This window comes from Homo sapiens, chromosome 7 (genome assembly GCF_000001405.40).
Source record: "Homo sapiens chromosome 7, GRCh38.p14 Primary Assembly".
Lineage (NCBI taxonomy): Eukaryota > Metazoa > Chordata > Mammalia > Primates > Hominidae > Homo > Homo sapiens.
In genome coordinates, this window is record NC_000007.14 from 1,709,564 (window position 1) to 1,731,725 (window position 22,162).

The 22,162-nt window shown below is 55.0% G+C and overlaps 2 protein-coding genes and 1 long non-coding RNA gene across 12 annotated transcripts in view, besides 5 other annotated features; 1 reads left to right on the forward strand and 2 right to left on the reverse strand.

The window, feature by feature from the left end:
* ELFN1 (extracellular leucine rich repeat and fibronectin type III domain containing 1) overlaps window positions 1–22,162 on the forward strand; it is an 81,883-nt gene that overhangs the window by 43,500 nt on the left and 16,221 nt on the right. Inside the window, exon 1 of one of the 9 annotated variants that reach the window (XM_011515401.3) lies at window positions 21,358–21,820. The exons of the other annotated variants lie outside the window; for them this stretch is intronic. The gene's annotated coding sequence lies outside the window, so the exon portion shown is untranslated. Of the gene's footprint in view, window positions 1–21,357; window positions 21,821–22,162 lie in introns of those variants that run through there. 9 annotated transcript variants of the gene reach the window in all.
* Window positions 3,168–4,068: an enhancer, noted in NCBI's record as "H3K27ac-H3K4me1 hESC enhancer chr7:1752367-1753267 (GRCh37/hg19 assembly coordinates)". NCBI's record gives its function as "activates a minimal SCP1, AML or CMV promoter by ChIP-STARR-seq in primed H9 embryonic stem cells {active_cell/tissue: H9 hESC(primed)}" and the evidence as "EXISTENCE:reporter gene assay evidence [ECO:0000049][PMID:30033119]".
* Window positions 4,069–4,968: an enhancer, noted in NCBI's record as "H3K27ac-H3K4me1 hESC enhancer chr7:1753268-1754167 (GRCh37/hg19 assembly coordinates)". NCBI's record gives its function as "activates a minimal SCP1, AML or CMV promoter by ChIP-STARR-seq in naive and primed H9 embryonic stem cells {active_cell/tissue: H9 hESC(naive and primed)}" and the evidence as "EXISTENCE:reporter gene assay evidence [ECO:0000049][PMID:30033119]".
* Window positions 6,888–7,587: an enhancer, noted in NCBI's record as "H3K4me1 hESC enhancer chr7:1756087-1756786 (GRCh37/hg19 assembly coordinates)". NCBI's record gives its function as "activates a minimal SCP1, AML or CMV promoter by ChIP-STARR-seq in naive H9 embryonic stem cells {active_cell/tissue: H9 hESC(naive)}" and the evidence as "EXISTENCE:reporter gene assay evidence [ECO:0000049][PMID:30033119]".
* Window positions 7,588–8,287: an enhancer, noted in NCBI's record as "H3K4me1 hESC enhancer chr7:1756787-1757486 (GRCh37/hg19 assembly coordinates)". NCBI's record gives its function as "activates a minimal SCP1, AML or CMV promoter by ChIP-STARR-seq in primed H9 embryonic stem cells {active_cell/tissue: H9 hESC(primed)}" and the evidence as "EXISTENCE:reporter gene assay evidence [ECO:0000049][PMID:30033119]".
* Window positions 8,576–10,822, reverse strand: LOC124901819 (uncharacterized). The gene is made up of 4 exons (XM_047421176.1): window positions 10,698–10,822; window positions 9,349–9,872; window positions 8,808–8,930; window positions 8,576–8,662 (listed from the first exon to the last, which is right to left on the reverse strand). The coding sequence occupies exons 1-4, from the start codon at window positions 10,820–10,822 to the stop codon at window positions 8,610–8,612; spliced, it is 825 nt and encodes a 274-aa protein (XP_047277132.1). The 3' UTR covers window positions 8,576–8,609.
* LOC105375124 (uncharacterized) lies at window positions 11,461–16,817 on the reverse strand. 2 transcript variants are annotated; one of them, XR_001745057.2, is made up of 4 exons: window positions 15,185–16,817; window positions 14,415–14,542; window positions 13,677–14,020; window positions 11,461–12,243 (listed from the first exon to the last, which is right to left on the reverse strand). It is a non-coding gene; the product is annotated as an uncharacterized LOC105375124 (long non-coding RNA). The 2 variants fall into 2 exon arrangements; XR_001745059.2 differs by lacking the exon at window positions 13,677–14,020 and having other exon boundaries at window positions 15,185–15,307.
* Window positions 15,108–15,694: an enhancer, noted in NCBI's record as "H3K4me1 hESC enhancer chr7:1764307-1764893 (GRCh37/hg19 assembly coordinates)". NCBI's record gives its function as "activates a minimal SCP1, AML or CMV promoter by ChIP-STARR-seq in primed H9 embryonic stem cells {active_cell/tissue: H9 hESC(primed)}" and the evidence as "EXISTENCE:reporter gene assay evidence [ECO:0000049][PMID:30033119]".

Here is a 22,162-nt window from a genome sequence, read left to right on the forward strand (position 1 = left end):
CAAGCCAGGATCAGCCCTGAGGATTAGAGGAGACTTCATCTTCCACCACTTTTGTGATCAGATATGGTCCAGTGTTTGAGCGTAAAACCACTATGTGAATAACACGGCATAGGTCACGTAGGTTAATATTGACTTGCAGTATGTATTTGAAGCAGGTTCTTGTCTGGAAAAATATATACAAATGTTGAATTGAATGCCTAGGTGAATAGGCAGGTGGAGGTCTCCATCCCAATGGCTTGCCAGATCTTTTGGTGACCCAGTTATGCTGTGTCTTTTCTGAGTTTCATTCTGCATTGGGAAGGTAGCTGGACAAGTTCTTTTTCTGCAGCATTTTTCAGAAATAGCAGATATGTCCTCTCTGGGCAACTGTACTTTGGATTTGGGAAACTGTACTTCACCCAGTTCTGGGACTCCAACTCAGCAGTTTTCAAATTTAGCAGGTCCTGTTCCGTAGTTTCTTTGTCTAATAGAGCTCGGTTGTAATATCTAACTTGACCAGAAGGAGGCGCTATTGTTAAGCAACACAGTACACTGAAAAGTCTGGATTTTAGACTGTGGGTTTCCTCAATAAATAGCTTGTCTTCCATATTGAAGAGTTCTATACACTGAATTTATTTAAAGTGGTTGTATTCCTTATGTTCTGCCAATTCCAATGGACCACAAGAGGAAGGCATCTGGGAATTTTCGGGTTCTCTCCTTCATTACATGGGGGGACAGACAATCTGTCTAGAACCTCCCAAGGCTTGCCTTTTTCTGCTCGTGGTCAGATGGTTCCCCAGACCTCTCCACAGCTTTTAGAGGGAGGTATCTCAGGAAGACAAGTTGAACTGAACTCTGGGGAGGGATCCCAAAGGACCTCATTTCCCAGGCTCTATCCTGCCCCCTCACCCCTGCCACTAAGGCATTATTTGAAAGCCTCACCAGGACTTGGTAGGGAGGGGTTCCACGCACAGCATTGGCCCTGCCAACAGCTTGTAGCATCTCCAATTTGGGAGGCCCTCAAGTCTTATCCATTGCAGCTGTCTCATGTTACAGGTGGGGAAACTGAGGCCCGGGGGGCCACATGGTGATTCAGAGTCAGATCGGGGCCATAGGTCTCCTCTAACTCACAGGCCAGTGTTCGTTTCTCCACGTCTTTCTCTTTCCTTCCCACAAAGGCTGGCAGGTGATGGGGTCCCCAGGGCAGGCTGCTCCCTGCCCAGGCCCCAGCCCCTGGTCCACTGCTGCTGTTAGCTCTGTCCTGCTCTGCTGCCTTGAATATTGCCTAGAATATTAGGGCTGGAAGGCACCTTCGGGATCATGAACCCAACTTTCTCATTTATAGATAAGGAACTTGAAGCCCAGAGAAGGGAAGGGACTCACTCCTGAGACCACCCAGCAAAATCTTCACAAAGTGAGGGCAAGGTCCCAGGTGTTCCAGGCCCCCAGCCTGGAGTTCCCTGCGGCACAGTGGGCTGCCCCGCCTGAGCCAGGATCAGCAGGGACTCAAATGCCAGCCCCTACCTGGCCCTATCTGAGGTCTTCCAGCTCCCCAGTGGGATAGTCCCTCCTTCCCATCTGGGATCCCTCCAAGCCCTGCTGACCTCAATACCACATTCGTATTTCAGGAAAGATACCCTTCCCCTGGGAATATGTGGACCAGTCTCCGAGGGGCTGCGTCTCCAGAGTGGAGTGATGTCCTCCCTGTGTGCAGACTGTGTTCCATGTGGGTCTGTCGGTTGGCCTAGAAAGTGGAAATGAGGGAATGAACCCAGGGTGGGTCTGCTGTGCAGGGGTGGGTGGTAGCAGCTGCCACTGAGGCCCGCCTGTGGGACCCCTACTCAGCCTATGCCCCAAACATCCAGAGGCCAGAGGAGGGGAGGGGAGGGAAGGGCAGGGAGTGTGGGAAGAGGAGGAGATGAGAGAGGAACAGAGAGACCCAGAAAATATAGAGACTTCCAGAAAGAGGAGGAGACAGCCGGAGGCTCAGAGAGACATGGGAAGGAAAAACCTTGAAGAGAGAGCGAGAGAGTGAGAGAGAGAGAGAGAGAGAGAGAGAGAGAGAGAGAGAGAGAGAGAGAGAGAATGAGACAAGGGAGAAAGCGCACTCGGAAACGGAAATCCCAGTTTTCAGTTCTTCGTGTATTCATCCAGTCTGTGCTGATCCCCTACCAGAGCAAAGCCCTGTGACAGTGACCTGCCCCTGCCCCTCTGTGGATGACAGTGTCCCCACCTGAAATGTGAGGGCGTCCCCACAGACCCTCTCTCAATGAGGCTTCCCTGGGCTGGGAGCTCTTGGGAAGACAGGGCAGTCTGGGGGAGGGGGCGGCAGCTCGGACCGTGCCAGGAGCCCAGGAACCCCCTGGCCTCCAGACTGAGACCCACGTTGCGGCAGAGAGAACACAGAGGCCCACAGGGCTGCGGCAGAGTGTGGACAGTTAGGGCGAGGACAGCAGACTGGGCTGTGCGGACCCCAGGCCTTTGCCACAGCCGTTGGGGATGGGACAGTGGTTGGGAGGCGTGAGCTGGGCTTTGCTTGAGATGCCTGGCAGCAGCTACGGGCCTTCCCTCTCTGTGTCTTTTCGTGTGGGGGTCCCTTTGCCGGAAACACCCTGTCCCCCAAGTTTGTCTGTTTCTTTTCTTTTCTTTTCTTTTCTTTGAGAAGGAGTCTCGCTCTGTCGCCCAGGCTGGAGTGCAGTGGCCTGAGTAGCTGGGACTACAGGCACCCGCCACCACGCCCAGCTAGTTTTTGTATTTTTAGTAGAGACGGGGTTTCACCCCGTTAGCCAGGGTGGTCTCGATCTCCTGACCTCGTGATCTGCCCGCCTCGGCCTCCCAAAGTGCTGGGATTACAGGCATGAGCCACGGTGCCCAGCCTTCTTTCCTTTTTTTTTTTCTTTTTTTTTTGAGACGGAGTCTCGCCCTGTCACCCAGGCTGGAGTGCAATGGTGCAATCTCGGCTCACTGCAACCTCCACCTCCAATTTTCAAGTGATTCTCCTTCCTCAGCCTCCCAAGTGGCTGGGATTACAGGCACCTGCTGCCATGCCCGGCTAATTTTTGTATTTTCAGTAGAGACGGGGTTTCGCCATGTTGGCCAGGCTGGTCTCAAACTCCTGACCTCAAGTGATCCGCCCACCTCAGCCTCCCAAAGTGCTGGGATTACAGGTGTGAGCCACCACACCCAGGCTTTCTTTCCTTTTTAAAAGTCAGACAAGCTCTGCCCTGCTGGGTTTTGGATGTGAAATGCTGGGCAAGTCATCTTCTACCTCTGGCGTCCCTCTTTTATCTCTTATCTTTTATCAGGACAGCTTCAAGTCCCTGCCCACATTTTATCTATAAAATGGGGAAAATAAGGCCCCTCAGGAGGGAAGCGTTCAGTGGGATGTGTAGACCGCCTGGCATCAAGTAGATACTCATTCGACCACCCTGGGTACTGCCCTGAGCATGGAGTGGGAACTCAGCAGTCTCCGGAACACCGATGCTGCATCCATGTTAGTTCTTTCCTTCCTCCCACAGATATCTGTCCTTCCATCCCAGCCCAAGTTCAGGCTCCTCCAGGCTCACCACAGCCTGGTGGGATCACCCCAGCCCCATAGCCTCCGGAGTCCTCGCCAGGCATGAAATCTCTGTCTTCTCTCTCGCTTCAGCCCCAGGCTGCAGACTCTGTGCTGTGAGCCTCAGAGCCCGGCAGGTGGGAGACAGTGCATAAATGTTTGTTGAATGAGTAGATGGGACGCTTCCCAGCCCGGCCCACCTCAGAAGGCAGGTGGCAAGACAGATGGGCCCTGGCTCCTGTGCGGTCTGACGGTGGAGGCAGCCGCTCCGCTGAGTCTTCCTCAGGAACTTGGGGTGGGACGCATTGTTTCCGAGATCCCTTCTAGGGACATCCTTTTGTCACTCAGCGAGTTGAAGTTTCCCAGCTTCTAAAGCCCCTGCCCCTCCCCTCCACTTCCTGTGTTCAAGGCCTGGTCCCTAGAAGTTGCTTTTATCCAGGCAGTGATTGAGAGTTTAGAAGGGGCTCTCTGGTATCCTGTGACCCTGGGTGACCTTGGCTGGACTCCTTCAGCACCAGGGAGAGAGGCCGGTGGCTGTGATAGGAGGCAGAGGCCTGTTGAAGGCAGCAGGGCCTGGGAGCCCATGGAGGTGAGCCCAGACCCTCTCTGCAAGCCCCTTCCCCTCCGTAGGTCTCGGTTTCCCTCTCTGGGGAGGGGGGGGCGATGTCCTTGCCAGCAGAGGTGCTGCTCAAGTGCAGGGCTGGCATCCCAGCGACTCGCCCAAGGCCACCTCGCCAATCCCCGCACCCTGCGTGCCACTCCCCCAGCACTGCCGCACGCCCGGCTCCCCTCCCCCACCTCTCCAGGAGCAATTGTTTATCTGCCAGAGGGTGACAGGCGGCTGTGGCTGGCATGTTGAGCCGCCGTCCAGAGATCAGCTGGCGGCTGCTGAGCAAACAGCACGAGCTAATCAGCAAAAGGTCACGCCGGCTCCCCGAGTCCCCGCATTTGAAGTCATGCCTCACACGGGCGGGCTGGAAGGAACCTGGGACGTTGAGTTAGTGGCTCAGTGACCAGGTCAGCTTCAAGTCACAGCCCACAGCTCATCGCCCAGTTGACCAGCCTACGCCTCTGAGGTTGCATCTTCTAGAGATTCCCCAGCCCCAAGGGAAACCCATCGCCTGTCTCCAGGTGGAACAAACCCTCTCACGACAGAGGCTCAGCCCCCAGCATGCGGAGGGGCCAGGCTTAACCACCCCAGCCCTGCCCGCTCCCCCTGCCCGGGACAGACTGTCCTTCAAAGCAGCAGTGCAGGGCTGGGCAGCATCCCCACCAGAGCTGTCCGTTCACCACCCCCCACACCACCTCTGACTTCAAGCCTACCGCCTTCCTCTAAATCCATTCAGTTTTTAAAAACTTAAATACATTTATTTAAAAGGGAAGATTTATAGCACTACTACAAATGGAAAACAAGCCTCTCTTGCCATAAATAGAATTCATAATCATAAAAATAAATTCAGTGGAAACAAAACAATGTTATTAAATTCTAGTTGGATGCTGTAGCCCCGGGGGAGGCTCAGAGCCCAAGGCCTACTATTGCTTTATTAAAAAGGGAGAGCAGTAAGTGTGCAGAGGTGTTCAAGACTCACCAACCCTGATCTGAGACTTTCTTCTTGTTGTAATCAAGAGTTTTAAAGTGAGAGTAACTTTCTCATAAAATGATTCAGTAGTATTTTATGCTGTGTCAGCTAGGGACTGAATTTGGCTGCGCAAGACAAACCTAAACACTGCATGGTTGAACCCCACGTGGGGGTCATTTTTCTTACGCAAAGACAGCAGCAGTGGAGCTGGTACACAGCCTAAGGGGGTTGTCAATGGTCCAGGTTCCTTGTAGCTTCCTGCTCTGCCACTGCGGACGTTTGTCCTCATGGCCTCAGGATGGCTGCCACACCTCTGGCCATCGTATCTGCATCCCAGGCAGGAAACTGGGAAGTGGGGTAGAGGTGAAGGAGAAGGGAATACACCAGCTAAGTCTGTTCCTTGTCATTAGGAAGGTAGCAGCCAACAGCCTGAGAAGGAAGCTTCTCAGCCAACGGCAGAGAAGAGCCGTTCTCTTGCCCACGGCAGTCACTGCTGCCTTTGGGTTGGTGCTTACTATATGTCTTATTCATTTGCCAAGTAGTTGTTTGGCACCTACTAGTTGCCAGGCAATAGACCTTGTCCTGGTGGTATTCACAAGGCTGCATGCTGGCATTTGTGAGATGAGCCACGGCCCACTGTGGGGCATCCCCCAGCCTGGGTTCTCCCTGCTTCCGCCTCCACCCCACACCTGGCTGCTTCTCCTCATAGGAGCCCGGCACAAGGGCACCCCCTGCCTCCATCCTGTCTCCCCTCTGCACACACCTGGGACTGCCCAAGCCCAGCCTGGATGGAGTCGCCCCGTGGGCCACCCTGGATGAGAAGGGAGCTATTCCTTTCCCCTCCCCAGCACCTGGGTCTCCTGCCCACTTCTGCCTCCCAGAAAGCCCCTTCCCCGCTGCAATCAGCCTCCTCCTGCAGGCAGGCCAGGCTGCAGGGATCCAGCTTCTGCTCCTAGATCTTCATTTGTCTTTTAATTTCCTCCTGTAATTTACATCCTGTGACTCCTGTAATTTACATCCTGTGACTCCTGTAACTTAATTAGCAGACAGAAGGCGTGGCTGCAGATGCCCAGCCCCCTGCCTCTGGCCTCTCCCGCTGGGCAGGACCTGGAGATTCCCTCCTCCCCCTGGGTCAGGGCTCCTGAAGGCTGCCTCCGGCCCCAGTTTGCCCATCCCTGCCGCAGAGTTTGTCTTTCAGCCTGAGCTCTGGCCTCCTCCCTTCATAGACCCTACCCCCGACTTTGAACTCTGGCCTCTGACCCCTGGTCTCTGACCTGCTGTTTGGCACCCAGCAGGAGGGATCTGTCCCAGGCCCAGGTTTAACTGTGGGCGCCATTGCTCACCAGCTGTGCACACAGAGGCAAGTCATGTAACCTCTCTGTGCTCTTCCTCAGTGAGTTGGGGGTGAGGGTCTGTGAGTAAGTAAATGAGAAGCCAGGAGCCCTCTCAGCTGTGCCTGCTCCTCTTCCACGTGTTCCCATCCCCTGCTCACCCCAAGGTCCTGCCCACCCCAAGGTTCTGCCCACCCTGAGGTCCTACTACCCTGCAATCCAGCCTTGGCTTGAGCTAATTCCAGGTTTCCCTGCTGGTCCCACAGCCAGAGGGTCTAGGGTCATCGTGTTGTGTGCTGTGGAGGCCCCAGGGGCTCACACAGCATCTGGTGAGGTGACGGCCTGGGTAAATTCTGAAGCCCTCTTGGGGCCCTGGCATGTGCCCGGCGAGCCATCTGGGCAGGTGCCACTGAGTCTTTCTCCCCCATCCTCCCTCCAGAGCCTTAGCTGCCTTCCTTCCTGCCGCTGGACGTGGGCGTATGTCTGTGTGTGCGTGCGTGTTTGTGTGCCCCAGGCTGGCCCGGCTACATGCCTGCACAGGTGTGATCCCCAGGTCCCCTGCATGTGCAAGGATATCCACATTCTGCACACACAGGTGTAGGCATCCCTGTGCATACGTGTCACGTGATGACCCCTGGGGCTGCATGCGTGTCATAGCTGTCCCCTCCCCCTGCAAACTCAGCCCCAGTGACTCACAGCCAGGACTGCAGCCGCACTCCCCCAGCCTCACCCGGGAAACTGTGATTCCAGCAGCTAAAGTGGGTCAGAGAGCGTGCAGGGGAACTGGAGGGCCTGGGGAGGAGGCCAGCACCAAGGCCTGGCTTGACGGCAGCCATGGAGGGGGAGGGGAGAGGAAGGAGAGTAGGGAGAAGAGGAGGATCTGCAGGGGCCAGGGCGCAGGCAGCCGGCATGGGGCATGGGAGCCAGAGGGAAATTAGTAGACAGGGCTGCTGTTTTTTCATAGCAATGATTTGATCTGGAAAGATGTGGCCCAGAGCTCAAGGAGCTGCTTCTCTGCCAGAGCATGCAGGAGGGAGGAGGGGGAAAGGCGTGGAAGGAGAAGGACACATTTACTGAGCACCTTCTTGATGCAGCCTCTCCGTAACACCACAGCCCTGAGCGATAGGCATCAGTGGTGCCGCCGCACGCAGGAAATAGAGGCAGACAGGGGCCGTGCATCTGCCCAGAGCCGGAGCTCAGGAGAGCCACCCACACTCCAGTATCACAGCCTTGCTGTTCTCTGCATGGAGATCACAGGTACCTGGAGCAGCCCATGGGGCTCTCTGCCTGCCCTAGCTTAGGCTGCTCAGGACATTGGAGTATCCTGGCCTGGCCGCTTGCAGCATGGCCCTGAGATGCCATGAGCACCTCAGTGGGCCGCAGTTCCAGGCTTGCTCAGCTGACACGCTGAGACTCTGGGACACCCAGGAAGGGGCAGGTGGAGGTAGGCAGTGTGTCCAGTCTGCAGGCACATGCTACGGTCCTACTGTGTGCTCCACTCAGAGGAAGGTGCCGGGGGAGCTGGAGCCTTAGCTGTGCCCCTGGGAGCCCAGGCCTGGCTGGGGATGTGGTTCATGGGGGAGCCTGACCTTCCCAGAGAGGAACGGTGCATGCATGCAGACCTCAGAGAATCAGACAGATCAGAGTGGCCTTCTAGGAAAGAAGAGTGTGTGGAACTTAGAGGGGCACAGGGTGCTTTCGGGTATGAGAGATGGCAGAAACAGTGGCGTCTCCAACACACGTGGCATGTGCAGCATATAGGGATGGCCAGGGTGGGGCTGTGGTGCCAGGGTGGGCATGTCAGGGACAGGTCGCAGGGGAGGAGGAAGTTGTAGTCCTGCTTCTCCTCCCTTCCCCCTATGCGCAGAGTACCTCCAGATTGTGCCAGGCCCCCTCCCTTGTAATCTGCTCCTCTGAGCGAGAAGCCTCTCATCTGTATTAGGTAGGACAAGCTGTTGAAGAACGGTAGTTTAAATAAGATAGAAGTTTATTTCTCTTTCACAAACAGCCAGAAGTCAGTGGCCCAGGGCTGGTAGGGTGGCTCTGTCACCATCACCTGCAGTTTCCATGTCTGGAACCAAAGTGGCTGCTCCCGCTCCCACCATCACATCTGCATCCCAGCTGTCAAGGGGCATGCATGCCCATTCCTTTTAAGGGAGTCGTTCACCAGTGGAACACTTCAACTCCACTCACGTCCCGTTGGCTAGAATGTGGTCCTACGTGCAAGGGAAGCTAGAAATGTAGTATTTAGGTGGGTCCAGCTTAAATTTGGAGTTCAATTAGTAAAGGAGGAAGAGGAGAATAGGGACCAACAAAAGGTCTTGGCCACTCATTCCTCTGGACACCCTGGGGCCGCAGTACCTTGTGGGAAGAAGGGAGAGTGGGTCACCCTCAGCGGGCCTGACTGGAGAATGGGAAGTAGCATTGGGGGTGACTGACCTATCCACAGGCCCTCTCCTTGGTCCTGGCCGAAAGCCTTTCTTGCTAAAAGTTGAAATATGAGGAAATCATTAGCATGCTTTGAATGCAAAGGGTGCCCAGAGAGACACCGACCATGTAACTTAGTGTCCAAACCAGAGCACTTCTGAGAGTACAAAGAGGTGGCGTTTGCAGTGACATCGGGACAGTAGGGCGGACCAGGATGTGCGGTCACCCCACCTGGAGACTCTCCCATCTGTGTTCTGGCTGGGGAAGCTGAGGTCCTCGGTCACACTCAAGTTAATGATGGAGCCACTCTAGGACTCCAGAAGGGCCCCCTCCCTGGCCGTGTTGGTTCAGATTGTTCAGATTCCCTCTCGCCCATTGATTGGTTTGTGGACCTCAGCTGTGACCTCTCTGGCATCCTATCCTGGACAGAAGGGTCTTGGGCCTCTGCCCTCATTTCTCTTCCTGAGAATCTCACCTCCGCGGAGCCACACTCCAGGGGTTCTTAGGATGGGATGCACAGGAGGCTGGAAACGTGAGCTTCCTCTTTTTTTGCCCCCAAGAGTGTCTGGGACCAGCCCGGAGCTGTCCAGGGGCCTGAGTGCCTGAATCACATCTGGGGTTGAATGAGTGCCTCCATCTCCACCCCCAGGGGTTACCAACAGGGCCCCGCCCACCAACAGGACCCCGCCCACCAACAGGACCCAAGCCACCAACAGGGCCCCGCCCACCAACAGGGCCCCGCCCACCAACAGGACCCAAGCCACCAACAGGGCCCCGCCCACCAACAGGACCCAAGCCACCAACAGGGCCCCGCCCACCAACAGGACCCAAGCCACCAACAGGGCCCCGCCCACCAACAGGGCCCCGCCCACCAACAGGACCCAAGCCACCAACAGGGCCCCGCCCACCAACAGGGCCCCGCCCACCAACAGGACCCAAGCCACCAACAGGGCCTCGCCCACCAACAGGGCCCCGCCCACCAACAGGACCGGCTCTGGGCTAGGCAGCCCCGTCTAATTCCCGCTTCCGCAGACAGGGCCCTCTGGACACACCCACCCCTGGAGACCCCTGTGTCTTAGACATGGCCCTGTTGTTCCCCAAGCCTCCCAGCCCCCGCAGTGCCCTCCCTCCCTACCTCAACCGACAGAAGGAGGAGCCGAGTTTGGATGGGGCCACAGACTCTGATTCTGTGAGGACACTGCCCTTTCCAGATCTGTTGGCAGACCTTTGGCATCTTCTTGAAAACCAAAGACACAACAGGGCCCAGAGGAATCTCCCCAAATGGTGGGGTTCGAAGCACTGGGATCAGGCCAGGAGCAAATGGCTAGGAGGTGGGGGGCCTCCCCTACCATCACCTCTGCAAACCCTTCCCCACCATCACCTCTGCAAACCCTCCCCCAACACCGCCTCTGCAAACCCTAGCCCCAGCCACTGGCACTCAGGCAGGGGCCTCCCCCACCATCACCTCTGCAAACCCTCCCCCACCATCACCTCTGCAAGCTCCAGCCCCAGCCACTGGCACTCAGGTGGGGGCCTCCCCCACCATCACCTCTGCAAACCCTCCCCCACCATCTCCTCTGCAAACCCCAGCCCCAGCCACCCGGCATTCCGTGTCCTGGGTTCCCCTTTCTCAGCCCAGAAATAAGACTCAGCTGACAGCATTCTGGCACAGTGTCCTTTGCGAGCCTGATGCTGCCTGGAGATGTCCCAGCCAGACACCTCTCCTTTTAAACCCCACCCTCTGCCCATTTTCCCTGTCCCAGGGAAGCCACTATCCTTGCACTCAGGCCCAGGCTGGATGGAGTCCACGGCCTCTGCCCTTACTCCAGTGGGAAGACGAAGATGGGAACAGCCGGTGGGCAGACGTCTCCACAGTGGGCCCCAGGCTTCCTCTGCCTGCCCTTGATTTTCCCAGAGGCCTGCTGGCTCACGCCTGCCAGGAGGCCCATACAGCTGCGGGCAAGGGGCAGCCAGCTATGCCCCAACAAGCCTCAGGAATGGGTCCCCAGCCTCCACCCAGGCACAGCAGAGAACACCGAGGCCATGAGCCAGGGAACCAGCGTGCAGGTTTGTGGCATGAATGAATGGAAAACCGCCTTCAATAACCGGGCCCCATCTAACCAGGCAGGTGGTAGACCAGATGGCTCTTTGCGCCAGCTTGTGTGCCAAGAACCTCAGCAGGTTGTGATGCCTTTCTGAGCTCCTTAAAAGCTCCTTCCTATTCCAGTGCATCTCAGGCCCTGGAGACCACCTCTCTCCCCTTCCGGTGGTGGGATCCCTTCCTCCCCCCAGCACCCCCCACCCCCCGCACCTAGTACTTGGATCTCTCTTCCACAGTGTAAGCTCTTACTTTTATTATGTAACATAGAACATCACTGTATTATCGTCTGAAGTAACGATTACTAAATAGTGAGCATTAACTCAAACTCAGACCTTGCATGCTCCGCTGGTACAGAGGCAGCCCCACACCCATCCTGCCTGGGCCCAGGTCCCAGCTGTGTCCCTTACCAACGTGTCCCTTGCACTCTCTCTGTGCCTCAGTTTCCTCTTCTGGAAAATGAGAATGATCAGAAGACTTTCCACGTCATGGTATTTCTATGTGTTTAATAACATGTTTAAATAAACACGTGTCAGCACTTGCAAAATTAAACATTGGATAAAACCTGTCTGGCATTACTGTAATGAGCTCTCTCATCCCTGTGAGGTAGCTGAGAGGCACAGAAAGATTTAGCAACTTGCACTGGGGGAGGGAGAGCCGGTGGGAGGCAGTTACATGGCTGATCACTCACTCACCCTCCTCCTGGCTGCCCAACCAGGCCTGATGTTTTCAGGGAGCTACAGGGGTGTCACCTTGGAGAGGGATGACCTCACTGTGTAACTCAGGGAAAATCCCTTTCCCTCTCAGGGCCTAAGTGTGTGAGTGCAAGCTCTCAGGGGGCAGAGGCCAATATTGGGAGCGTCTCTTGATGTGACTCCAGGCACGCTGGAAGGCACACACAAGGCAGCGAACTTGCTGGACAGTGCATCTGCCCTGTGCCATGCCCTAGCGTGGCGTCTGGCACATAGTAGGTGCTTTAAACGCCTTGTCGGCTGGAAGAAGAACAGCTGGGGCCTTAAAGCCATCAGCCTGTGAGATGAAGGTTCAGCTTCTCACGGGCACCATTTGCATGCAGGGCATCGAGTTACGCACCTGCCAAGCCCACCACACTCAGTCCATCGGGTGTTTCCTCAGTGCCCAGAGGAAGCCGGGCCTGTCAGGGTCGAGGAGGGTGTTCTGAGGGAGGGACTGCACCCAAAACCATCGCTCACGATCTGCTGTCCAGGAGTTTTTGAAGCCAATCAGTACCCCTGCCCATGGCAGAGGGAGGTCCTGGAAGGGAACGAGAAGGCCCAAGCTCAAGTCTCCCTCGGTCCCCTGTGATTCTGTGACACTCCCTTCCCCTCTCTGGTCTTCAGTGATTGTATCTGTGCCATGGGAGCTTTTGTGTGACTCACTGCCAGAGGCCCCTGGCTTACGGCTCCCAGAACATTCTGGGGTGTGTACATCCCATCCTTTACTACAACAGGTGCGAAGTGGACGGTCTTCTGCGCAGCCCTGGGAATGGCTGACCTGGTCAGGGGCCCGGGTGGCCCAGGCCTGGTCCTTGGGACTAGAGAAACAGTGCTTAGACCAGACAGGTTGTCTAGCTGGAGAAGTGGGCACATTAACAAGTACAGGTGCTTGGCCCTACCTAGACTTACCAAATCAGGACCCCAGAGTTACGTCTTGGAAGCCTCTTTTTCTAAAGTTCATGAGTCATCCTCACAGCTAGCCCAATTTAGGAGCCACTTTTTTTTTTTTTTTTTTTGAGATGGAGTCTCACTCTGTCACCCAGGCTGGGGTGCAGTGGCGCGATCTCGGCTCACTGCAACCTCCGCCTCCTGGATTCAAGCGATTCTCCTGCCTCAGCCTCTCAAGTAGTTGGGATTACAGGTGCCTGCCACCACGCCTGGCTAATTTTTTTATATTTTTAGTAGAGACAGGATTTCACCATATGGGTCAGGCTGGTCTCGAACTCCTGACCTCTGGTGATCCACCCCCCGCTCAGCCTCCCAAACTGCTGGGATTACAGGTGTGAGCCACCGCGCCTGGGCAGGAGCCACTTTTTCAGTCCAACTTCCACTCCAGTACTTTAATACCGTCTCTGGTGTCCTGCCTCTCCTTGTATACCTCCACTAATGGGGAGCTTAGTTTTATATGGCAGCCCATTGCTTTCTAAAACATTTTAAAATTGATTATAAAATATTTAAGATGTCTCAAATATCTAAGAAATCCCTTATAAATATTTTAAAGTTATAAAATATTTAATACAATCAATGACCTAAGGAGTAATACAATGAATACCTAAATACCCACCCCTTCCCAGCTTAGTCCCTGTGCAATGAAAGCTTCCCCTTCTAGATCCTTTATCCCTCTTTCTCTTTAAAAATTTTTTTGGCTGGGTGCGGTGGCTCACGCCTGTAATCCCAGCACTCTGGGAGGCCAAGGTGGGCAGATCACATGAGGTCAGGAGTTCAAAACCAGCCTGGCCAACATGGTGAAACCCCATCTCTACTAAAAATACAAAATTAGCCAGGTGTGATGGCAGGTGCCTATAATCCCAGCTACTCGGGAGGCTGAGGCAGGAGAATCACTTGAACCCAGGAGTTGGAAGTTGCAGTGAGCCAAGATCGCACCACTGCACTCCAGCCTGGGTGACAAGAGTGAAACTCCATCTCAAAAAAAATTTTTTTTCATAGTGGTCAAATATACATAAAATTCACCATCTTAAGCATTTCAGCACGCGGTTCAGTGGTGTTCAGTGGATTTGCGGTGTTGTGCGACAGACCTCCACAACGTTATCGTGACACATTTTGTATACTTTGACCATATTTGTACAAACGCCTATGTAATACGCTTTTGCAGGCTCTGACGCTTTGGATATGGCGTGTGGTACAGCAGGTATCTTGGAGAGCTTGCTTGTTGGCTGGGAGGCGTATTTGTGAGTGGGATCCACTCTGTGCACATGGCTCTGTGGTTCCTTCTTTTTCACTGCTGCATAGTACTCCATCGGGCCCACGCCTCACAAGGTTCTGGTCCACTCTCTCATGGACATCTGGTGTCTGCCCTGTCACCATTATAAACAATGCTGTTATGAACATCTTTGGGCAGCTCTCCCAGCTTCTCCAGGGCTGTGCCCCGGCCTGGGGCTTGGGCTCGTGGGCCACGAGCATCTTTGCCTTGGTGAGATGTTGCCTAGTTGTTTTCCAGCACTGTGTACTGGGTCCTGCTGTCATTGTCAGGCATGGAGAAGTCTCTGGGAGGATGAGGAGTGGCCACATGCAGTGCCTGCACGGGGTTGGGGAGCCTTCTGCTATAGGCAGCTCTGCAAGTTGCAGTGCACCTGACGCCCCTGCCCTCAGCCAGACACCCCATCTCCTCCCACTTTTTTTTGGATGAGCTGACGTTGTGTCCCCTCCCATTGAGGCCACTCATTCACCCGGAAACATGCCCACGCTGACCTGTGAGCCACGTGGGATGTGGTTAGTCACAGGGGCTATGGGGCCAGGCTGCCTTGGCTTAGGCCCCGGCCCCACCACTTAGTTGCCGTGGGAACTCAGGCAAGTTCACGAACATGTCTGCCCCTCGTCTGTAAAATGGAAATAACAGCACAGACGTCACAGGGTTACCATAAGTATCCAACATGTTAATATATGCAGAGTTTCTAGCACAGTGCCTGGCGCGTGGTAGGTGCAATGTCAGCATGAGCTTTTGTGATCTCCCTGGAGGTCTGAAACCAAACCCTTCATCGTGGCTAAGCAGTGCTGGGCAGAACCAGATCACCTCCTCTATTCTACCTAACAGATCTCTATTAAGTCAGCCCGCGTTGCCTTCTCAGGTGACCGTGTTTACCCTTGAACTTGCTCTTGGTCTTCCTGTTCCCTGAGGTGCCGTGCGGCCCCACCTCCCTGCTGGCTGGCTACGTGGGTGTGAGTTTTGCCCTGTGTGACTTGTGGAGATGAATTTGACCCTCAATCAGTCCAGCAGGAGGGAAGGCTTGGATCTTGGTCCTGGCCCTCCTGCAAACTCTCAAATTTCGCCCAAACTGCTGCTCCCAGGTAGAACCAGGTGAGGACAGAGCTTGTGACCCCCACCCGGACCCCCTTTGGGGAACCCCCGCCCTTTGAGGGACTCAAGCATAAGTGATCACTGACCACAGCCTTGCCAGAGCCCGGGGCCCCATGAACGCGACTCCCCCCAGGGCCTGTCACAGAGGCCGGGTGTGTCTCACCTGATTCTTCTCCGTGGATTCGCAGGTTCACGGCCACCACTGCCCCTTCCTCAAGGTCAAGGTTACCTGTGCCTCACACCCACCTCCCGTCCTGCACCCCTGGCACCCCTTTTGGCCTGTGTCAGCCTCTTTGCCAACTTCTGAGGGCATCATCATCTTCATCGCCTTACCTCACAATGGACACTGGCCCTGCCCTGATGTGAGGTGCTAGCCCCCTCCCCACCATGCCGGGCATGGCCCTGGCGAGGCCCCTGTGGGGAGGGGCACAGCCCAGGAGGCAGAACAAGGTGTCACAGCCCAGCCCTGCACCCCAGAGGGTGGTTCTGTCCCTGAGCAAGGTTGGGCTGGGGATCAAAAAGGGGTCTCCCAGAAGTGGGGCAGAGGCCAGGATTAGGGAGGGGAAGCAGGTGACCCTGAGACCCCAAAACCTGGTGGGTGCAGGCAGTTTGGCCCACAGCAGGGGCCAGGCACTGTCTTTAGGGAAGAAGGAACCCAGGGAATAGGCCGATGATTCCCAGAGGGAGGCTGCCCGGCCAGAATCCCGCCCACAGCTGGTGCTGGGGCTCCTGGCAGCTGGCGGGGGCCCTGGTGGTGTGGAGAGGAGAGGAGACAGTGGGACGGGACAGGGCGCAGGCGAGGCCGGTGACAGGTGCGTGTGTCTGCCAGGTCGGTGCAGCCTTAGAGAGGCGGGAGCGAGACAGACGGGAGGGAGGGAGGGCAGCAGGTGTGAGGCAGAGCGGGGGTGGGGTGGGAGCAGAACACAGGCCTCCCTCCCGGGCCGGCTGCCTCTCATTGACTAAGTCACTCCTGAGAGGGTGCACTCACACCCCAGTTGGGTGGTTTCCAGTGTTGTCGGCTTCACCGAAAATGGAATGTCCTCTGGCTGCCCCAGCTGTCGGACGCCCGCCTGCTGTGAGGCAGTAATTAGACGCTCCTGTGTGTAACACATGTGTGCACGTCTGTGTGTGCACGTCGGGAAAGGGTGGGGCGGGGCAAGTGGTAGACCCATGGCTGGAGGGGCCAGAGAACATGCCCACACATGCGCACACACACAGTACACATTCACACAAAAGTCACACTCAGACACACATAATACACACTCAAAATAACACACAGTACACACTCGCACAAAAATCACACACAAATACACACTCACACAAAAATCACACACAACACACCCTCGCACTCACAAATACACACGCACAAAAGTCACACAATACACAAAAATCACACACACATAGTACAGTCTTACCCCAAATCACACTCACACGCAAATACACAACTTGCGCAAAAATCACACTCACACACAATACACACACACACAATACACACACAAAAATCACACTCATACACACGCACTATTCTCTCCCAGGGCCTAGTGGGTCTTCGGCTGGAGAACGCAGGGCTCCAAGGTCCGCACCCGCCACGGTCCTGACCCCTCCTTGCCCTGTGGCCACCGCACCCAAGCTCTGTCCCGGCCACTATGCTGGGATGGGGACATGAGCCACTGTGGGTCTCTGGGTGGTGCTCCCACCCCAAGCCGAGAGCCGCAGCCCTGCCTGCACCGTGCCTCTCCAAACCCTGTCAGTTCTTCCTCACCTTGGCCCTTTGAAGCCTAAATGAGAAGATCTATTTATAGCAGTCAGCATATGGACCCTGCCAAATGTGCCCGCTCAGACATATGCTGGCGGCACGCTCAGCCCAACACCACGCCAAGTCCCTCCCCAAGGCCAAGCTGGCCCAGCTCCCCCGAGGCCTCACGCCCACCAGAGTGTGCTCCCCGGGGTCCCTGGATCCCCTGGGGTGTGGCAGCTGCTGCAGAGGGGACCCAGGCCTCCAGGGAGAGCTAGCCAGCCACTCGCTTCTAGCCCAGGCTCTGTCCAGGGAGGGCCCCCAAGTCCCTTCTCCCTCTACCTCCTGGATACAGACAGGTGAGCAGGTGGGAGGTGACAGCCAGAGGCACGGCAAGGGTGTCACCCTGAGAAGAGGGGAGGGGCCGTCGTCCCAGCCTCAGGTGGGACATGAGCCCAGCTGTTACCCGTAGGGCCCACAGGCGGGCTGGGATGCCTCCTCCACCAGAACTCGCCCCTGCACGTCCCGATTCTTCCGTAGGGGACCCATGTCTGCTGAGACAGGAGCCGGGCTGGGTTCTTCCCATCATTTGTCCTTTTGTTTAGTCCTCTGAGGGTCGTTTTACAGGCACAAAGATTGAAGCCCAGGGTGGGTGGGCTACTTACTCAGGGGCACACAGCAGCAGGCAACAGGATCGGTGTCCAGCATCGGGGTCGGGCTGTGGGATTCCATCACGCGTGTTCTCTTCAGCACTCATAGCCTCTGTGATCCATGAAGACAGCAACCCTGTTCCGTCCATCTTGGTTCCTTCCCTGCCCACACCCAAGCACTCAATAAATACCAAGTGAATGAATGATTGTGAGAATGAAGAATGAATGAGCACACGAGGGGGGTGGAGATGGTGAGTGTGAGTCCCCAAGCTTCAGCCAGGCCTCTCCACCATGCAGTCTTGCTCTTCTCCCTGGGGTAGCTAGAAATGATGAGACAAGGTCTTTTATTCTGATGGGGTTATCTCCTGAGGCTTTTATTCTGGTGGGGGTATCTCTTGAAGCTCAGCTGTTTCCAGAGGCCAAGAAACTAGGGCTGAATCCTCCCTTTTCTCTTTTCCATGAGAGGGGCAGGGAAAGGAACTAAGTCTTGGGACCTTCAGTAGTGGGGTGCCCCTGTGGTCAGTCCTGGGCTGCCCTAGAAGGGTAGCCCCAAGCTGTCTCCCCAGCCCCACTCAAGGGGCCTCCCTTCATTTCCTCATTCAATTCGAGGACTCCACTCCCTTCCAATATTCTGTCTGCCTGGATGCTTTGGCCTTATCCAGTAGTCTTTTTTTGGTCACCCAGGGTGGCATGCAATGGTGTGATCATGGCTCACTGTAGCCTCCACCTCCTGGGCTCAAGGAATCCTCCTGCCTCAGCCTCCCAAGCAGGTGAGACTACAGGCATGTATCACCATGCCCAGCTGATTTCTTATTTTTTGCATAGATGGGGTCTTGCTTTGTTGCCCAGTCGGATCTTGAACTCCTGGATTCAAGCAATCCTCCCACCTTGCCCTCCCAAAGCTCCAGGATTACAGGGGTGAGCCACTGTGCCTCACCTCCCCTAGTCCTTATTTGCAGCCTGTTGGACTTTTGAATGCCCAGGGAATGGGCCTTCTCTCCACCCTGTGTGCAGGGGAGCGGTTTGAGAGAGGCCGAGAGGTCCAAGCACCACCCCTTTGCATGGGCGGTTTTCTGTCCAGAGCCATTGAGAGGCAGGGCCGGACTTGGATCCCAGACCTTCCTGCTCCACCCAGGGGCCTCTCTTTTTGCCTCTCCTGCTCCAGGTTGCGAGGACAGGCTTTCCCTTAGGGCGCCAAACGGGTGAGAACAGAAGGTCTCCCCCAGGACCTGTGGTCTGCACTGTAGCCCTGGGAGTGACTCCTGCTCCCCATCCCCCTGCCACTGCAGTAGCCCCTGTGGAGGGAGCCCAGCCCCGGCCTGCACCCTTCCCAGAGGCTCACTGACTAACAAGGGGCAGCCTCTTTCAGACCAACCGCATTCTGCGGCCTTTCAGCTGTAATTAATGTTTGCTGTGTTATTAGAGAGATTCTTGATAGGCTCTGAGATGCGGAGGGTTTGCAGAGCTGGCTGGGCGAGCAGAAGCCAGCTGCTGCCAACAGGCACCCAGTCCTCTTCACTCAGGGTCCTGGCCACCTTCCCTCACAGAAAGCCACTGCCCCAGCGCTCAGGGTCCCCTGGTTCGGAGGCACCTCCTGGGCTTTGCTCAGACCCCCCACCTTTCCTTCTGTCCATGCAAATCCCACCGATGGCTTTTGGACCACTTCACGCCCCAGGCAGCACACAGCACATGCGTTTTCTCACGTTCCCCCCTCCAGGAACCCCAGGGTGATGTTAGTATTTTCAGTTTTCAGAGGAGAGAAAACAGAGGCTGGGAAAGACCCAGAGTTTTGTGAGTATCAGGAACTGAGTGGGAGGATCCAGCTCCACCCGGGTCCCAGCTCCTGTCGGGGAAGGGGAGTTTCACACCAGCTCCTCCGTGTGTCCAGCGTGTTCACAAACACCATCGCATCTCACTGTCGTGATGGTCCTGTTCATCATCTCATGATGTCCATCATCTCATGATGGCTATCAGTGGCCCCATTTGTCAGAAAGGTAAACTGAGGCTCAAAGAACTTAAGGACATTCTGCAAATCACCCAGCTGGGGAGCAGCCGGCTGCTCAGGAGGCAAACTCAGCTTAAAGCCCAGCTCCTCCTGCCCCGCGGAGCTGCCACTGCCAGCTTCCTCTGGCCCTCACACCACACAGGGCCCCTCTGCTCAACTCACTGCCAGGAGCCCTCCAATTCTCCAGTGGATTCTTAGAGCCAGAGCTTGGCCCCCTGTGGTGGATGGGGAACGTGAGCTTGGAGGAGGCCTGGGGCTCCCCACCCACTCCCTCTTACTTGAGGACTTGGGTTTGGTGTGAGTCAGTGATCCTCCACTGTCCCACAAAGTCCTGCACCCCGGGGCTCAGGGCCAGCTTCTTTTGCTCAGGGTTCTTGGGTCAGGCACTGGGAAGGGCTCAGCAGGGCGGTTCACCTCTGCTCAGCAGCGGCTCCTTCACTCCCAAGCCAGTGCCATGGCCCTAGCCTCTCAGTCTCGATGGGACCACACCCCCCACCACCCAGGCCTCACAGCAGGGTGCTGGGAAAGTCGCTTTTCTCACCTGGTGGCTGCTTCTAGGACACAGGAGGCAGGGTGGCCGGCCTAGCTAGGGGCTGTGCCCAGGACGGACACGGCTTCGCTTCTACCAGCGCCTTGGTTAAGGCTGTCTCAGGCCAGCCCAGATTCAGGCGTGCTGAGCTAGACCCTGTGTCTCAGCAGGGGGTGTCAAGGTCTCTGCAGACTCCAGGTGGGAGGTAGAGACGCAGCTGTCTTTTGCAGACAGGGTCGGCCCTAGTAGTCCTGCCTTGAGCCCCTATTTACTTCCTGCGTCTGTTCCTTTTCTCCTATGTTAGAACAGCCGTCCCGAAGGGGCTGAGATTGCAGTTTATTCATTTTGTATTGTCTGTGCCCTCCCCTCTCAAATGCCTACTGGGATGTCCATCTGTCAGCACGGATGCCGAGGCACGTAGACCAGCAGGCCCCAGGAGGTGGGCGGGGGTGGTCTCACAGGCCTAGCCTCAAGGGCAGGGAGCTGGGGTCACCCTCCAAGGCCCTCGGCAGCCCCACCCGGGGACCAGCCCCTCCCAGATGCCATCTCCGAATCCGCCACGTCGGATGCCTTCCAGGCGGTCATGAGCTCTCCCAGAGGAGGCTTCTCTATCGTTCACCCTGCTTTGAGCTGACCCTGAATCGTGAAAATCTGGAAAGCACAGAAGACAAATGAGGCGTGACATTTCACTTGAGAAAATGATCATTCACTTTACAAAGCAGTGTGTGGTGTTTGCCTGCAGGACTTTCCGGAACACATCCACTGGGGAGGGGGGCCAAGCCTACAGAGCCAGGGGCTTCCAGCAGCAACACTGTTTGATGAGCTGGAGGAGGAAGCCAGGACAGCCTCAAACCCCAAACCAGCCAAGACCCTGCAGGAAATGAAACCCCACCCTGATCTCACCCGTGAATATTGGATCAAAAAGCCTCAAAGACACTCAAGGAAATCCAATTCCACAGAATATCACAGAGATAAGAATCGGCCATGATTATGTAGAAGTTATACAAAAAATTCAAAGTTGGCTTAATATTAGATAAATCTATTAATAAACTACACAGTGTCCACAGGTCAGCTGGAATGCACATTCATAATGACGAAAGGCATTTGATAAAATCCAGTGCCAATTTCGGATTTTAAAGTAACTGCTAGAAATAGAACCAGAAACACACGTCTTTATCGAAGTCAAGAATCTGTCTCAGTTCAACAGCCAGAATCATTCTAGGTGATGAGATTTTTTAATGATTCCCATTCAGAAACTTATATTAAAAAACAGCAATGCTTTCATCATTGTCCAGAAATTCTGGACATAGCAATAAGACATGAAACAGAATTAAATGGGATGTCTACAGGGAAGAATTGTAATTATTTGCTGACAAAATGATTCAAGATCTTAGAAACCCAAGAGAAGCAACTGAGAAAAAAAATGACTTAATATAAAAATTTAATACGAAGGTGCTGGGCTGGAAATCAAACCAACATATACAAATCAATAACTTTTCTCTGAACTAACAACAGCTAGTCGAGACACATAATTAAATAAACGGTCCCCACTTACAACGGCACCAATAAAACAACAAAACCCTCCCAATTCCCAGGAATGAATCGACAAGAGAAATTTAGGATCATTATGAAAAACTCTCTAAAGTTATCCTGAGAGATATCAAAGAAAACAAGAGTGGTGAGATGTGCCGTGTTGGAATATTACCCGAAAGTCTTTCCAGAATTAATTCACAGGTTTACCACCATCCATCAACAGGCTCGCAGCGAGTTTTACAAAGCGAGATAAAATCATTCTAAAAGTTCATCTGAATGAATATTCAAATGGCAAGACTAAAGAAACGCAGAAAAGGGAGAATGATGAAGGATGTCTTTCCTGCCAGGTATGGAAGCTTTTTATAGAGTTATGGTGATTGATATTGTGCTGAAATTGGTAAAAGAAGAGAGGGGAGGTGTTATCAATAGAAATAGGAGAAATGGTCCCACACAGAGGCCTCATGAGAGGGTGACCATATGACAATTTATTGCCCCAAATGGGATACTTTTAGAGTGACAAGAGGATGTATTCACCATTATACGGGGAAACAGACATGCACAGGGCCCATCCCAGGAAAACCGTGACATATGCCGATTTCGGATTGCCTTCCTTTATTTATTTATATATTTTTTGAGACGGAGTCTCGCTCTGTCGCCCAGGCTGGGGTGCAGTGGTGCGATCTCAGCTC

What these genes read in the sequence shown, in the direction of transcription:
- LOC124901819 (XM_047421176.1), bottom strand. Translation starts at nt 10,822, where the DNA reads ATGGGCCTCCTGGCAGGCGTGAGCCAGCAGGCCTCTGGGAAAATCAAG. An exon ending in TGGAGTGTGGCTCCGCGGAG is followed by an intron (nt 8,931 to 9,348) that starts GTGAGATTCTCA and finishes TTCAACTTTTAG; the next exon opens with CAAGAAAGGCTTTCGGCCAG. An exon ending in CTCTCCCTTCTTCCCACAAG is followed by an intron (nt 8,663 to 8,807) that starts GTACTGCGGCCC and finishes CCTTGCACGTAG; the next exon opens with GACCACATTCTAGCCAACGG.